Here is an 18,205-nt window from a genome sequence, read left to right on the forward strand (position 1 = left end):
ATATTTTGTAGATAATTATGGGAAATACATTGATCTTATAAACTCTGGTCTAGATGAATTTTGTACTAATTGCTGAGTGCTTAAGCCTCAACAGCCTTGGGATCCACAACATAGGCAGAGATTTGGCAGATGAGAATAGTGGATCAAATGTTTTCAGTGTGTCCTAGGATTACTCAAAATATCAACCAAGGCCAGGCGCGGTGGCTCACACCCATAATCCCAGCACTTTGGGAGGCCGATGCAGGCAGATCATTTGAGGTCAGGAGTTTGAGACCAGCCTAACCAACATGGTGAAACCTGTCTCTACTAAAAATACAAAAAAAATTAGCCAGGTATGGTGGCACATGCCTGTAGTCACAGCTACTCAGGAGGTTGACGCAGGAGAATCACTAGAACCTGGGAAGCAGGGGTTGCAGTGAGCCGAGATCATGCTATTGCACTCCAGCCTGAGAGACAGAGCAAGACTCCATCTCAAAAAACAAACCAAACCAAAACAAAACAAAACAAAAACCGTCAACCATTAATCCCTCAAAACTACTTTTCATATCTGCTATGTAGTTTGGCATCTCGCATCTACTTTTAACCCCAATACTTTGAATCAGCCTTAATCTTCTGGGAATTTATAACATGTTCTTTGAAATTTTCTTGGTGTTTTTTAGATGGCCAACTTCCTAAGAAGTTCATTTCATTAGCACTTAGCAAGCTCAATACCTGATCTGACCATTGAATGATAGATGACCTCTTTTTAATAATAGATGACCTCATGTGTACATTCTAAGAGACTCACCATAGTGTACCAGCCAACAATAGTGAAGACCAGTCTCTGACTGAGCAGACTCTGGTTTGACTACAATAATCAAATATTGCTACAAATGCATTTTCTTGTAATTCAACTTTAAAACACAATTTCTTTTTGTCATCAAACAATGCCTCCCAAAGATTAGGACATTTGAATCATAGCATGTCCATGAGTTTCTCTATAGAAGGCTTTTTGGAGGCAACACAGCAGCTACTTGTTCCTTGTGGATAACTTTATTGCTTCTAAGTGTATCCAAAATGATTTTGGCCACTCAGAGACCTTGAATTAAATGTCTTCGGGTAAGAGCTGGTATTTTTTTTATCTCCCTTCTCATAGTCTTCCACCACTGAGACCTTCTGCTCCTCATTTGATGCTGTTGTCTTCTCCATCCTACTAACATCTCCTTATCTCCCTGGCTTCTAGGGCAGTATGCTTTTTGGTCCTGCTCAAGAGGTTCCTTTTACCACTCCCACTTGAAGTATAGAAATCTGCTTCTCTTCTCTTCATTTGTTGCCTTCAAGTGGTTTCAGTGAGCACTTTTCCTCAAAGGGTCATTCCAAGTGCATCACTTACCCTCACTGCAGGTGCCTGCCTGCCAGCACAAATCAGGAGCCATGGGGACAGCCCACACATGAGATCTGCTGGTAGCCCACACAAGGGCCATCCCGCTTCTACTTATGTCCTTCTGCAACTCCAAGCCTCAGAGATAAATTCAGTGCTATGAGCCTTCCGGGGCATTATGACCAATCATTTTCAACTGTAGCTGATGGGAGGGATCCCAGAAAAAGCGAGCTTAATGGGTCTATTTCCATTCCTGCCTTCATCATCTATAACTCCAATTTCATCAAGCACTCTGAGTACAGCTCATTAAGTTTGCATTTCTCTTTTTTTCTCTGTCGAAATTACTGTGCAGTTTGCACAGAGTGTTTTTATATTGAAATGCCTAAAGATTGTACCCAAATGTCTCAGTTCCAAAGTCAGGTAAGTGACAATAATCAGCTGTATTTTATATTGTTGAAATACATTGCTGAAAAATATTGCTGAAATATATTCATTTATACTAAAATGAACTCTCTGCCTATTTCCTCGTTTGTCCTCTACCACACTGCAGAGAGGGGATAGGATGAAAAATGCTTTTCCTCCAGAGAAGCTGAGGCTCTGAGGGGACCACTGCCAGGGCCTGCCTCAGAGGACATAAGACCATTTGTCACTGCCACTGATCCTTCCTTCCTCTCTATCCAACCTCATCTCTCATCATTTCTCTTATGCATCCCAAAACTCCAGCAGAGTCAAAGGACCTGAAGTTCACCAACCCTGTTATTCTCTGAGTTGCCTTAATACCTTAGTTCTTACTGTTGGCCCATTTCTCCTTTACCTGACTAATTAATGTGGGTTTTCAAAGACTTGGCTCTAACTGTGGTTCTATTCTAGAATTCCTGAACGTGTTCCAGGAGTTATGGCAGAATCAAATAAGTTCCTTTTAGCTACATTACACCCTGTATTTTGTTCCCCACTAATTCATAGAGATACTGTGACTTCCTACACCCACACACATCCCTCCACCAAACCCCATACTGAGCAGTTGGTCTCAGTATGACCTCAGAGAATAATTTCCCTGTTTTTTGTTTTCCCTTCCATCTGGGTTTACCCCTCTTGAGAATCCTTTTTCTTTTCTTTTCTTTTCTTCTTTTTTTTTTTTTTTTGAGACAGAGTTTCACTCTGTAGCCCAGGCTGGAGTGCAGTGGCACAATCTCGGCTCACTGCAAGCTCCGCCTCCCGAGTTCACGCCTTTCTCCTGCCTCAGCCTCCCAAGTAGCTGGGACTACAGGTGCCTGCCACCACGCCCAGCTAATTTTTTTTTTTTTTGTATTTTTAGTAGAGACGGGGTTTCACCGTGTTAGCCAGGATGGTCTCGATCTCCTGACCTTGTGATCCACCCCCCTCGGCCTCCAAAAGTGCTGGGATTACAGGCATGAGCCACCGCGCCTGGCTGAGAATCCCTTTTCTTTGCCATCTCTTTCTTGGCCTTTTCTCTCCCTAAGTTATTCTTAGGTCAAAAAGATAGGATTCAGGTGAAGTGGAAGGACAGATTTTGTCCATCTTTTTCCCTTTTCCTAATTCAGTGCTGACTGCCTTTCCCTGCCTTCCAGGGAGCTCTGTCTCATCTGTCATAATGTTTTGGAAGAGAAGGAATGTCCTCCATGCCTTAGAGGTTCAACCTGTTTCTACCTCCCCAGTGTTACAAATTAAGGCTCTTCTTAGAATCCCTTATCGTGGGAGCAACTTAACTACCCCCAATTTCAATCTTTCTTCAGTCCCAAGTGGTTTTAATGGTGTATTCTCACACTGCTATGAAGAAATACCTGAAACTGGGTAATTTATAAAGAAAAGAGGTTTAACTGGCTCATGGTTCTGCAAGCTGTACAGGAAACATGACTGGGGAGGCCTCAGGGGACTTACAATAATGGCAGAAGGCGAAGAGGAAGCAGGCGCGTCCTACACAGCTGGAGCAGCAGGAAGAGAGCAAAGGGGAAGGTGCTACACACTTTTAAACAACCAGATCTTATGAGAACTCTATTACGAGACGGCACTAGGGGAATGGTGATGGTGCTGAACCACGAAAAACCATCCTCATGATCCAATCACCTCCCACCAGGCCCCACCTCCAACACTCAGAATCACAATTCAGCATGAGATTTGGGTGGGGGCACAAAGCCAAACCATATCAAATGATTCCCTCCTTTACATGCCTACAAGCCTGACACACAGGCCATTGTAGTGACTGATTTCTAGGTCTGTCCCCCCAACAAACAGTGGCTCTCAACCGCTTTCTTAAAGTGCAACACTTATGTTCACTTATACTAGATTTTTCATAGGCCTACTCAGCTTAGAGGTACGTCATAGAAAAGATGTTCTGGAACACTCCTATTGGGTCAGTACAAGCTATAACTTTGTCTCTTCTCATACATGACACTTGTCTGAGAGCTGCTTGACTAGACTCTGGGTTTCTTGAGGACAGGGTCTAAGACTTAATCATGTCTGTATACAAAGTGCATGAAACTGAATAGGTGCCTAGAAACATGCTTATTGGTTGGTTGATTGGCTGGCTGGTTGGGTAGATGGGATAACATAGTGGAGCGATTCAGAATCAGAGCGTCTGGATCCCAGCTTTGCCATTTACTTTCGGTTCGACTTTAGGCAAATTATCTCACCTATCTGGGCATGAGTTTCCCCAAACATTAAGCAATATATAATATTGTATCCACCTCAGAGTACTTTCTGTTTGTTTTAGCTTATATTTATTGTCTACTATGTGATAGACACTGTTCACACTGCTTTACATAGATTAACTCACTTAATCCTCCAGATGAAATTGAATAAAGTGTGTGTTTTGTCTAGCATATAGCAAATACTCATAAACATTAGTTATTACGAAAGAAAGAGAGACTACCTGGGCATAGCTATGAAATTCTGCCTCTAAACTAGATCCTGAAGAGCTTTAGAGGTTCAGCCTGGTTCTTCCTCTACAATGTTACAAATTAGGATTCTTCTTCTCAGAATCCCTTATCATGGGAGCAACTTACTTTAGGGTCCTCGGGTTCTTATTCTTGAGATTTTTCATTCCACATGGTTCTTTTACTTTCCTTATTCCTCAGGAACTTGGGTCAATAATTGGATAGAAAAATGTGTGCTCTGGATCTTAATAATTGCTCTTCTGTACAGTAGGTTTGTTTAGTGTTCCTGACCCCAGGCTTTGCCTGATTTGAATGAATCCAACAGTTGTAGCCCCAGTGACAGTGTGCAAACTGCCCTTTGGGGGTAGTGGGGTTATTTGGGGGCCCTTTTCTGTTCTAGATCCCAGAAGCAAGGTGAGCTTTCACCGGCACTCAGGTGCATGTTACCAATGACAAAAGAATTATTTGACCTTTCCTTATACTTCTTGTATTGCTTTTCTGATTATCAAAGCAACGCTCTGTAAAATGTACCAACTGATGCCCAGGGCTCTCTTCTAAGTTGTGTAAGATAACTTCAACTGTGTTTGCATCAGTTCGTTTCCAAGACCTTTTATGTCCTTCTCCGCTTTTGCAGGCTGTTCTTGCCAATCATAGGTCATTCAAGACAGGGCATTAAACACTGGTATTTCAGTTTTAACTCTGAGATTTGAGAGTTGGCTCCCTCAGTCTTTTCAATGATGCTTTCCAACTGGGACATTGTGGCGTACTGACGTGCCCTGAGTGGGTTGCAAATGCGCTGAGCTATTGATCCTTCTAGGTGGTCTGATATATAACAGGGCAGCCATAGTCCATGAGCAGTCTTTGCTTCTGGCCATGAGCAAACTTATTTTACTTCAGTGTGCCACACAAACATTGTTATCTTCCATTTGTGTCATGTACTGAAAAAGTTGGAAAGTGCTATGTTTACAGCATTTGTTATGAAGTGTCTTTTAACTATGGAGCCACAATATGTGAATCAGATTAAAAGTGAATTTTTTTAATACCACTGAACTGAGCACTTAAAAATAGTTAAGACGACAAATTTTATGTTATGTGCATTTTACCACAATTTTTTAAAGTAAATCTGCTTTGAGTAAAATGGCACCTGGGCCCTGGAACTTTGGCATCCTTCTCAGTGGACTTTGAGGGCTTCAGAGAACACAGCTGAGAAAGCACTACTTCAGAGCAAGAATCAAAAGCCTTGCTCTCCCCCTTGGACTTTGGAGTCTGCAATAGTGCATTCCTCTGTGAAGCCAACCTTCAGCAACTCTGTAACGGGGCAGAGGTTGCCTCCTGGGCTTTCCCATGGGACATATATACTCTTCCTGACAGTGTTCCTTTGTCAACCTTCTCAGGAACTTGATGCCAATATAACTTGCTCCTGACTTTCCCTCCCTAACAGATTGAAAAGTTACTTATCATAAATATAAACTAATATTTAGTGATGAGGTTTTTCATCATCATACTGTATGTGTGTGTGTACACACACACATACACACACATATATCACACAAAATAAAATATTCAATCATTTCAGAAGGGTATAAAATATACAGAAAACCTCTCCCTGTCCATTGGTAGTCCCATGCCTCCCCAGGTAAAATAATTGGTGACAGTTTTGTATTTTTGTATCTATATATTCTTTCAGAAATATCTTTGCACATATAAAATCTATCTATCTATCTATCTATCCATCCCTCTATCTATCCATCTAATATATAAAGGTCCTTTCACTCATCTGATTTTACAGTTTTCTCTTTTTGATTAATAATGCATCTTGATAATCACACCATATCATCACTTACATTCTACATTAAGCTTTATAACAGCTGCATAATATTCCATTGAATGGTTGTATCATATTTTATTTAATTGGTCCTCTGGTGATAACATTTAGGTTGTTTCCAATTGTCTGAATAGCAAAGGATTTGAAACCATCTCAGTGTTCAATATTCAACAATTCATTAAATCAACTGTATTATAATCTGTAATATGATTTCTTTTAAAGATGATATTGTAAAAGCACATTCAAGGCTATAGCAAAGTGTTAACTGTGTCTTTTTACAGGAAAAAGTAAGTTACAAATTCATTTGAATAGTGTGGGCCCTAATGGATAGAAACTGAGCATGCATGTATAGATGTGAAAGGATGTTCACTAAACTGTTAGTCTGTTAACAAAGGTTCTCTACATGGTTGGAAGGTAGGGTTTTAAATTTTTTCACCATTTTGCTTGAGTATTTTCTAAATTCTCAACAATAAATGTACATGGCCTTAGTAGTTAGAGAAGCAATACGACAAGATTAATTTTTTAAAAAACAGATTCGCATCCATCGTATGGCACTGCAGCCACATTCCCCTGCTCCTACTGTGTTTATGGCACTATGCCAGCTGGTGGAGAACTAGGCAGTCAGAACTAGTTAGCCTAGACCATATATTGTGTGAGCTGTCAATCTAGTGAGAAAGAGCAGGGAAGACAATTACACTAAAGAAGCCAGAGATCAGGGCAAGGCAGTAGGAATCAACAACCTTTGAGACTCACACAGACAGTGCTGAGGGGGACTGAGCCAAGGGAACAATCCCTGTGGAGTATATCAATGAGAGTTAGGGGTTGCGTCTCGGGAGAAGTGGGAATTGGGTTCAATACGGAGGGGCAATAGGATTTGCAGAGGCCAAGCTGAGGAGAGTAGGATTCCTACAGGCACTGACAGTGGTTGGTAGGGCATCAATAAGATCTTCTGTTCTGTCAAATTATCTGGTTTGTCAGCTAGTTACCAAAGTGGTACGGAGTGACTGAGAGGATGTGCCCTGTAATCTGACATATGTGGGTTCAAATTCCATCTCTGTCAATTACAAGATATTTGCCTAGGTAAGCTACTTAACTTTTTCAAACCTCAGTTTACTCATTTGTAAAATGGGAATTATAACAATACCTTCCTCATCAGGTTGTTTAAAGGTTAACCGAAATAATGGCATAGTACTGTGCCTGATTGGCACATAGTAAATGCTCTACATAGGGTAGCTGTAATTATTATTAATACTAATAAAGAAAACATATGTCATAGCATTTAAAAACTTGGTTTAATAGTAACAATGAAGTCATGTGCAAGGGATTCATAATTCTCAGAAGCAGACAGTTTTTTTTTTCAAGGTCTCTGACATGAGGTGTCAGGAAACTGTAGATTAGAGAACCCAAACAGGTGTACAAATTTCTAAATGAGAGAAGAGAAGTGTATAGAGGATGGTAGCTAAAAGCATTAGCTTTGGTTGGGCTCAGTGACTCACACCAGTAACACACACACTTTGGGAGGCCGAGGTGGGAGTATCACTTGAGTCCAGAAGTTCGAGACCAGCCTGGGCAACATAATGAGCCCTGTCTTTAAAAAAAAATGTTTTTAAATTGCCCATGCCCGATGGTCTGAACCTGTAGGCCCAGCTACTCAGGAGGCTGAGGCAAGAGAATTGCTTGAGCCCAGGAGGTCGAGGCTACAACTGAGCTGTGATCGTGCCAATGCTTTAGCCTGGGTGATAGAGCAAGACCCTGTCAAAGAAAAAAAAAAAAAGGTCAGGGGCCGTGGCTCACGCTTGTAATCCCAGAAGTTTGGGAGGCCAAGGTGGGTGGATCACGAAGTCAAGAGATAGAGACCATCCTGGCTAACATGGTGAAACCCCGTCTCTACTAAAAATACAAAAAAATTAGCTGGGCATGGTGGCGGGCACCTGTAGTCCCAGCTACTTGGGAGGATGAGGCAGGAGAATGGCGTGAACCCAGGAGGCGGAGCTTGCAGTGAGTGGAGATCACGCCACTGCACTCCAGCCTGGGCGACAGAGCAAGACTCTGTTAAAAAAAAAAAAAAAAAGCATTAGCTTTGGACTTAAGACTTAAGAGGACAGGAGTTTAAGTCCCTAGCTCTGGCACATGCGTTGTGTGATATTAGCCAAGTTCCTCTTTAGTACTGGGGCTTGGTTTCTCCATCTGAAAAATGGGGAACTATCTACAACATAGGTTTTTTAAATTACAGATTTAGGCGGTAAATTGCTATTTTGTTACATGAATATATTAAGTAGTGGTGATTTGTGGGCTTTTATTGTAGTGATGGCTACAAATAATGTAAATTGTACTCATTAATAGTGTAAATTGTGTAAATAGTGTAAATTGTACTCATTAAGTAATTTCTCATCCCTCACCCTGTAGGGCTGTTAATGTTAGAATTAAATGAGATAACACAGGTAAATTGCTCAGTATGTGGTACTCAGTTAGTATTCAGTTCATTCATTGAACAAATATTTTTCGAGCATTTACAATGTGCTAGGCTTTGTGCTTAAGCACTGGGATAAATTGGTGAATGAGATAAAGAGGGGCCCCACTCTTAAGTAGTTTTTAATAAATGAGAACTACCATTACTACTGCTACTACTGCTATTTGAACTGTCACTATCTAGACGTTCATTATTTTTAAAAAATTACAAAAATGTTTTCCCAAACTTCACTATTCTAATCAGAAATCCTCAGGTGAAAACATTTGAGTTGCACAGGAATCCTATCCAGAGGACGTAGAATGTACCCCTCTCTGGATAAAACAGCATCTTGGCTCCCGATGCCTTGTGCATGATCATTCTCATCTTCCACACCATTTTCTTAAGGGTTTAGTCCTTCATTAGCCCAGTGTTTGCTTCTTTCAAGTGCCTAGGGACACTATCAACCGTGGTCCACGTAGACCACATGTTGAGAATCTCTAACACATTATTTCATTGTTTATATTACAATGTATGTTCATTGCAGTTTAGAAGAGAAACAGTTTGCTCCTGAAATTGTAAATGATTGTATACCAAACACAAAAAATACCCTTTAATGAGTTCATTACGTGTTAATTAGGTATTGGCATTTTAAATGAATTATATTATCCATAAGTCCTTCATGGATTGATTGGTAGCTGTTTAAATGTTTTAATAATGATTAGGAAAATTGTTTGGAGTTTTTGGATGGCTTAGGAATGTATTGTCATTTCTCCATTTAAAATAATGGGTTCATGTCCTTTGTAGGGACGTGGATGAAATTGGAAATCATCATTCTCAGTAAACTATTGCAAGGACAAAAAACCAAACACCGCATGTTCTCACTCATAGATGGGAATTGAACAATGAGAACACATGGACACAGGAAGGGGAACATCACACTCTGGGGCCTGTTGTGGGGTGGGGGGAGGGGGGAGGGATAGCATTAGGAGATATACCTAATGCTAAATGATGAGTTAGTGGGTGCAGCACACCAGCATGGCACATGTATACATATGTAACTAACCTGCACATTGTGCACATGTACCCTAAAACTTAAAGTATAATAATAATAAAAAAAATTAAAAAAAAAGAATTTAAAAAAAAAAGAATTTTAAAATAATGGGATATAGGCTTCTGCTCATGTTAATTATGCAACATATTCTCTATTACTTTTTATATTTGAATATACAGGGATGCTTGTATTATAACTACTAACACAGCATTACTACCACCCACCATCTAGTACTTGCAAATTAATAATTGCTACCTACTGACTTCCACAAACTACTGTCTCGAAGTGTTGCGTGTATAGTCTTTACAGTAGCTAATGTGGCCCTTTTTCTCTTTTTTGAGCGTGGCCATATGGTTGGGTATGGGGCCTAATTCTTGAAGTGAAGGACCTGGACCTTTCTGTGGCTGATACCCAAGGAAGGCTGCCTAAGGATAAAGAGCACAACCCCAGTCATGTCTTTTTGTGGCTCTCAGGCCACTCCAGGAAGTCAGAGATCATCAAATCCAAGGGTGTTGGCAATGGGAAAGAATACTTCATATGGAAGAGTAGCCAAAGATGCACTACTCCAAAGGCACCAGCCATTGCCTGGTGATGTGTGTGTGCGTGTGTGTTTGTGTGTGTGCATTTGTGTTTGTGTGTGTGTGAGACTATCTTGTCCCCTAGGGTATTGCAAAGGCACTTGGTTATTTTGACAGTGTTGATAAGCACCTGAATGGGCAGATGTGGAATGAATTGCAGTTTTATTACCGATTTAAAATTTTTTAAAGGACCTGTTCCTGATGAAAGGACCAAGGGCAAGCCCCCTGGTCAAAGAAATTTCCGGGAACCGTGTTTACAGTATTTCCTGGGGGATGTCATCAACATATAAAAGGCTCCAAGTAGTACTGCAGGAAAGCAACCTGATTACTCTCTGCTTACTAGAATTTTCCCACATCTTTTTTTTTTTTTTTTTTTTTTTTTTGGCTCACAGCTATCTTTTCTGTGTGGCAGCCTATGGAACACTAATCCACAGCACATGTTTTAAGAAACACTGTTCTAAATTGTTCTAGAATGAGGTATGACAGAATTTAATAAACCTCCTGACCCACTCATTATCCTCCTACTCCCTCCTGCCCCCTTTCCTCATGCTTCTTTCCTCCCATCCCACTCCTGCATCTCTCTTTCCTTATCTTTCCTCTTTTCCTTTCCACATTCATTGGCATGTTACTAAGAGACCCGACCATCACCAAAAGCATTTCAATAACTTTTTTAGCATTGAGAACAATAGCAAAGGCTGTCAAAAACGTGAAAAAAATACTCCCTGCTTCTGCCCCTGAGAAGCTGTCAGTAGCTTATGGATCTCGGCTGGGTAGATCTGCAGATTCTCCATAACATAAGAATCTACATGCAAGCAAATGACTGAACTCATGGCATGCTCATGGAGGGGATGGGGAGTACTCAGTGAATTACAGTTATATCTTTGTGTTTTTTTTGTCTTTTTTTTTTTTGACAGAGTCTTGCTCTGTCGCAGTGGCTCGATCTCGGCTCACTGCAACCTTCGCTTCCGGGTTCAAGTGATTCTCCTGCCTCAGCCTCCTGAGTAGCTGGGACTATAGGCGTGCACCACCATACCTGGCTAATTTTTGTATTTTATTTTATTTTATTTTATTTTATTTTTATTTATTTATTTATTTTTTGAGACAGAGTCTCGTTCTGTCACCCAGGCTGGAGTGCAGTGGTGCCATCTCGGCTCACTGCAAGCTCCACCTCCCGGGTTCACACCATTCTCCTGCCTCAGCCTCCCAAGTAGCTGGGACTACAGGCACCTGCCACCACGCCCAGCTAATTTTTTGTATTTTTAGTAGAGATGGGGTTTCACCATGTTGGGCAGGATGGTGTCGAACTCCTGACCTCAGGTGATCTGCCCGTCTCGGCCTCTCAAAGTTCTGGGATTACAGGCGTGAGCCACAACACCCGGCCAACAACCATACCTTTTTAAATAAGTACTAAGAACTTGCCAACACAGCTCAGCAGGAAGAGAAGAAACACTATTGTGATTCGTTGTATAATATATGCCATTGTACAGTCAGTGCTGTACTCTCAGAGGGACATTGTGTAATTTTCAGATTTTGTCATGTGCTGCCTTCTTTGCGAAGCTGCACTAGAATTAGGTGGTTTGGTTTTGGTGGCCAGCTCAGGCACAGACTTGCTGCCTTGCTTCAATCAAACCGTTTGGCCTCTCTGGACCTCAGAGGAGATTTTACTGTATCACCTGGAGTAGCCCGTCCCTTCCTGATCTGAAATTCTGTGATCTGTCTAGTGGGATTGCTGCTCCTTGGTGGTGGCTTGAGGGTGAAATGAGATGGGATATGCAGAGATTATTCCCTTCAAAACTTATTGCTGGTTTTCAAAAGTCTTATACCAAGTGTCACTTGAGAGAGGAAAGACTGACAAATTTGCAAGTGGAAACTGATTGTGGGCTGGTGCTCATATGTCCATTTCTATATCTCGCCCCACCCAGAACAGCCCCAGCATTGCCCTGCTTAATGAATATTTGATGTTGAAGCACAATTTGTTCAGATGACATTTGCATTCTGGGAGTAAGCTACGGTGTGCAGTGTGCTCATAAAGAGAACAATGTGTGACAATTGAGTAACTGGAACTATCTCTTTTCTAGAATGTACATGCATGCAGGGCTCCAGGAGAAGAATTTACCATGTGTAATCTCACTTAAGCGTCATGAAATCCTGTAAGAAAGGTCAATTCTATTATCCTCATTTTACAAGTGAGAAAACGAAGCCTTGGAGAGATTCCATGACCTGCCCGAGGTCACACAGGTAACTGGAGAAACCAGCTTTCAAACCTAGCCAGCCTGACTCCAGAGCTCTTAACTAGCATGCTTTTCTTTTAATTGGTTCAAACAGATAGCGTGAGAAGTAATCAGTTATGAAGAGGGGAAAGATGGAAGGAGGGAAGCAGAGCTCCTTGCTTTGGCTGGGTGAGCACTGAGCTTGTCAAGTGCTATCTGTCCTATGCTGGCTTCATGTAGAAGCAGTGCATGCAGATTCCCAGCTACCCAAAGTCTTCCCACAGTATTCAGTACTCTTTACCTCCTCCGTAGGAAACTCTACGCTCAAGGGGAAAATGTTTCTGCAGTGGCCACAGCAGGAAGCTGGTTCCAGTGCTGTCTGTTCACATGACTGTCCAGGAGCTAAATCCTGAAAGATGAGGAGCTTGTCCTTAGCACTTCCTGACCTCCTCTCAGGATCTCTGCCTCCCTCTGCTCAGCATCTGTTAGAAACCTTGTGTGTGTATGCCGCCTCTGGGATCCCAGTTTTTTTCATGTTGGCATTCCTTCCATGGGCCTACTATTCTCCACAGTTTTCATTGCTTCAGATCTTTCTGTCCCCATTCTTCCTGTTAATAGCTCTTGACTCTGTGTCTGCCATTAACTGAGATAATAATAGCAAAGAGCTGATAATAGCTAACATGTATTAATCATTTTCTATGGGTTGGGCTGTGTTCTAAGCAGTTACATGCAATATCTCATTTAATACTCACAGCAATGCTGTGTAGAACTCTTATTGTGCCTACTTGACAGTGGAGGATGTTGAAATTCAGAAAGGTTAACTTGTCCAAGTCACCTAACCAGTGAGTGGTTAAGAAAGACTCACAACCAGGTCTTTCTAACTTCAAAGTCCATGCTTATGTGCATGTCCACTAGTCCATATTATGTCATTGATATTGTGTCAATAAGCAGGATTCCCAGTCTGCCTGGTTAGATTTCTTTCCTAACTGAACAAGTAACTTCATAGCAATTTCTTTTCATTAGCAGGTCTTCCCACTGCAAGTGATCCCTTCTCAATGTCTTTGGAACTACTGTACAGGCCTTACAGGACACACCTTATAAGATCCCCAGGATATTTTTAAATCTCTCTCATCTTCCCTCCATTCCTTCCTTCCATTCATCTCACCCAAATTCAGCACATTTTTTCTTGTTGTTTCCACATTTAACTTTCACTCATGATCCTCACTGTGCTATAGATTGGCTAATTCAAACTTTGAGTACCACTAAGCTTTCTTAATCTTGTAATGATATTTATTCTGTTGTTCTTTTATTTTTCCTTCTCTCAACAAGAACGGCCTGATATCTACCCTCACAATTCCTTTGCTGTTTTTTCTACTTCCTCATCATCACTCACTTACAAGAGAGACTCATTTTCTGTCACACTGTCCTTATGAGGCAAAGTAGTAGTTGTATTAGCCCCATTTGATAGATGAGGAAACGGAGGTTCAAATGGCTTAAGTGACTTGCAAGGGATTACACTATCTTTTCTCCAATTGGGAGATACTCTCTAGTACTATTTGATATAAGCAAAAGTTGGTGTTAAGAGTGCTTGAGTTATGTGGGGACCTCTAAATTTTGACTTAAAATCATGCCACTTTCTGGGGGTTTTAGCTAAAGCACTGCAACTAGAATGGGGTGAGCGGGGTTAGAAAAGCCTCTAAGAGGTCTCGAATCTACTACCTAGCTGGAGGAAGATAAACTTGATACTTAGAGTGTCATTCAAATAGGCAAAGTAAATCACCTCCCACCCTGAGACAAAGCCAGGTTGAGTCTGGTAACTTTAAAAAATCATCCTTTCATTTCTGGGCTGGATCTTCCCACTACCCTAATGAATAAGGATATCAAAGGAAAACACATGGCTAACAATATTTAGAAGTCAGTGCTGTGAGGAATGAGCTATTGTTGGAGAGGGCCCTATCTTTGTGTTAGTATTTAGCTTTACAATATTCTATAAGTAGCAATTGTAGCTCTCTGATTGGATAAAAGGATGGTAGTCAGGGAAATGGAGGACAGGTTGGGCTTAGGGACAAAAGGGCACCTTTCCTTTTTTTCTGGATACCAGACATATCTTTCTGGTCAGATTTCTCCATTTAGGATTATGGTGAAACTCTCTCTGTACTTTTGGTACATGGCCTGCTGTTTGCCACATAGTAGAAACTTTTTAGGTGGGTGAATGGATTTGGGCAACTGTTGTACATTGATTGCTTGTTCTTGGTTTTCATTCAATGTGCCAGCCTATCATGTCCTTATCAGAGACTCCTTAGAGCCAGTATGGTTGAAACCCCAGATGTAATAAGCCACTGCACATAGTGTGGAAACACAGAGGGGTTAGGGGTTTAGGATGATTCCAATAAAACAAAAAAAAATGCTTCCTTCTGTTACCCAGTGCCCTTCAGATTAGAGCTTTGCTTCCTCTTGAGATGCAAATCTTCCTGGATTGTGTAATAGGTAAAATAAGGTGTATCTTCCTGGAGTGTCAATTTTTACTCCAAGATTTGAGGAAAGGGAAGTTATTGACTTCTAGAGTATTTAAACCATTGTTTATATATTGAAGCAAGCACTGATATTAGTAAGCTCAGCTGCCATAACAAAATACCATAGACTGGGTAGTTTAAACAACAGGAATTTATTTCTCACACTTCTGGAGGATGGCAAGTCCAAGGTTAAGGTGCTGGCCAATTTGGTTCTCCAGTAAGGTCTTTCTTCTTAGCTTGCAAACAGCTGACCTCTTGCTGTCTCAAGTGGCAGAGATAGACAAGTAAGCTGTCTGGTGTCTCTTCTAAGGGCACTAATCCTATCATGAGAGCTCTACTTTCATGACCTCATCTAAACCTAACTACCACCCCAAAGCTCCATCTTCAAATGCCATCATATTGGAGGTTAGGGCTTCAACATATGAATTTGGAAGGGGGTACAATTCAGTCCATAGCAGTATCTAATAGAATGGACTATGAAATTCATGTGTCTTTTTTTTTAAGACAGGATCTCACTTCGTTTACCAGGCTGGAGTGCAGTGGCACGATCTCGGGTCTGTGCAACCTCCTCCTCCCAAGCTCAAGCAATCCTCCTACCTCAGCCTCCCAAGTAGCTGAAACCACAGGCGCATGCCACCACGCCCAACTCATTTTTTGTAGAGACAGTGTTTCACCATGTTGCCCAGGAATGTCTTGAACTCCTGACCTCAAGCGATTCACCTGCTTCGGCCTCCCAAAGTGCTAGCCTCCATGGCCGGCTATATGTATACACATACACATATATATACACACACACACATATACACACACATATATACATATATATACATATATGTATACACATATATACACACACATATATACATACATATATATACACACACACACACATATATGTGTGTGTGTATATATATATGTGTACACCTGTGGTTTCAGCTACTTGGGAGGCTGAGGTGGGAGGATTGCTTGAGCTTGGGAGGAGGAGGTTGCACAGACCCGAGATCGTGCCACTGCACTCCAGCCTGGTAAACGAAGTGAGATCCTGTCTTAAAAAAACAGATACATGAATTTCATAGTCCATTCTATTAGATACTGCTATGGACTGAATTGTACCCCCTTCCAAATTCATATGTTGAAGCCCTAACCTCCAATATGATGGCATTTGAAGATGGGGCTTTGGGGTGGCAGTTAGGTTTAGATGAGGTCATGAAAGTAGAGCTCTCATGATAGGATTAGTGCCCTTAGAAGAGACACCAGACAGCTTACTTGTCTATCTCTGCCACTTGAGACAGCAAGAGGTCAGCTGTTTGCAAGCTAAGAAGAGAGACCTTACTGGAGAACCAAATTGGCCAGCACCTTTATACATATATATATATATATATATATATATATATATATATATATATATATTTAATATAATATACGTATATATAATATAGAAATATATATTATATAGAAATATATATAATATAGAAATATATGTTATATAGAAATATATATAATACATAAATATGTTATATATATTCACATATATTATATTTATATATTATATATTATATATATTTATATATAATATTTCTATATTATATATTATATATATTTATATATATTTATATATATTATGTTTATATATTATATATATTTATATATATTAGTATATTTATGTATTATATATTATATATTTATATATTATATAAAATAATATATTTCAATATTATATATTATATATTTATATATTATATAAAATAATATATTTCAATATTATATATAATATATATTAATATTATATATAATTCTATATTATATATTATATATATTAATACATTATATATTATATATAAAATACATTATATATATTTACATATATATAAAATATATGTATGTATTATTTTTATATATATGTATATATAAAACAGGAGACAGCAAAGAAATTCCAGTCTTGCAATTAAATTCCAGTCTTGCAGCTGTCTCTGACCTCCTGGGAGGTATTTTTTCATTCTCTTCTGCAAAGGGGGAACTTGAGATGAAGTTTAAGAAGCACTACTAGGCCTGTGTAAGTAGCTACAATATGAAAGGTGCTCCTTGGAGTTGTGTCTTCCAGAAGCCTTAAGCTCTTTGAAGTTGTTAGGAGTAGTTTATACCTGGATGTGAATGAAAGATCTGAAAGGAAATTTTGGGGATTGTGAGTAGGCATTGTGTGTGATAAGGCTGAGAAGAGAAGAGTACTGAGTGGGAAGAATTGAGAAGCTGGGGCCCTTGATAATTCTCTTTTCCAATTTCACAGTTTGTTGGGGAAAAGATTGCCCTTTCTGGGACCTCTTTCCCCATCTGATTCCCTCTGCATTTTATAGGATGTTGGCTGTACTTCTAAAAGTGCCCTCAGACGGGTTCTAGAGAAACAGATTAATCACTGGATCCTAACAGGTTTCATTTCTAGGGGTAAGGATGAGAGCACTGGACAAGAATTCTGATGCAGTAACCTCGTTTAAATTTTCTACGAAGTGTATGTGGGAGCAGCTGCCCCTGTAAGTCCCTTAGGCCAAGATCACTGAGACTTTTTCCCTCCCTCCTCCCCTGCCTGCTGTATTAGAAAAGTAACACCCAATGAGAGCACATTTCTTCCTTTACACCTTGAAAGCCAAAAGTAAGTGCAGTTTAAGTGGTATTTTCTATTCATTAGTGTATTTAGGATTTCTGGAGCTTTGCTTTGAAACCATTTCTGTAGGTGCTCTGGCCTGCCTCCTAACTCATCCTCCTCTCTTAATTTTTCTACAGTGCTCACATTCACTTCCTTTTAATCCTTTTATCCCCTTTCTTTACTTTCACAAAAACCTTCTCCTCTATTCCCCCTGTTCAGAAAAGTCTCTCACTCACTTCAGAGTAGCTGCTCATATCTTTCCAACCCAAATCACTGTTTCTTGTTAATTTCACTCTAAAAATAATTGATACTCTACATGTGGTATCTTATTCACAACCAATGCTATCATAGTTCACTTGAATGAACTGCTTCCTCTATAAAAATTCATTCATTCTCTTGGCAATAATATTAACAATAATATTGGATAGTTAATTAAAATGCTTCTATTCCCAGCATAGGTAATAACCTATCAACGTATTTCCAGACATCAAAGTGTAGTAGTTGAAAGTACAGGTCATGGCATTGGACAGATTTAGCTTTGAATTATGACTCTACTGGTGACCTTGGAAAAGTCACTTCAACTCCCTGGATCTCTTATATGTAAAATGAGGACAATCATTTCCATGTACCAGAGTTATTATAAGAACTAAATAAGATGGTATCTGTAAAGTGCTAACAGATAAATGA

General features: G+C 40.1%; 1 protein-coding gene across 2 annotated transcripts in view; it reads left to right on the forward strand.

Annotated features, from left to right (window-relative positions):
• The window catches only part of RTL4 (retrotransposon Gag like 4), a 374,502-nt gene that overhangs the window by 211,113 nt on the left and 145,184 nt on the right, over positions 1-18,205 (forward strand). The window contains exon 3 of one of the 2 annotated variants that reach the window (NM_001395362.2): positions 12,236-12,395. The exons of the other annotated variant lie outside the window; for it this stretch is intronic. The gene's annotated coding sequence lies outside the window, so the exon portion shown is untranslated. The remainder of the gene's footprint in view (positions 1-12,235; positions 12,396-18,205) is intronic. 2 annotated transcript variants of the gene reach the window in all.

Source organism: Homo sapiens, chromosome X (assembly GCF_000001405.40).
Source record: "Homo sapiens chromosome X, GRCh38.p14 Primary Assembly".
Taxonomy (NCBI): domain Eukaryota; kingdom Metazoa; phylum Chordata; class Mammalia; order Primates; family Hominidae; genus Homo; species Homo sapiens.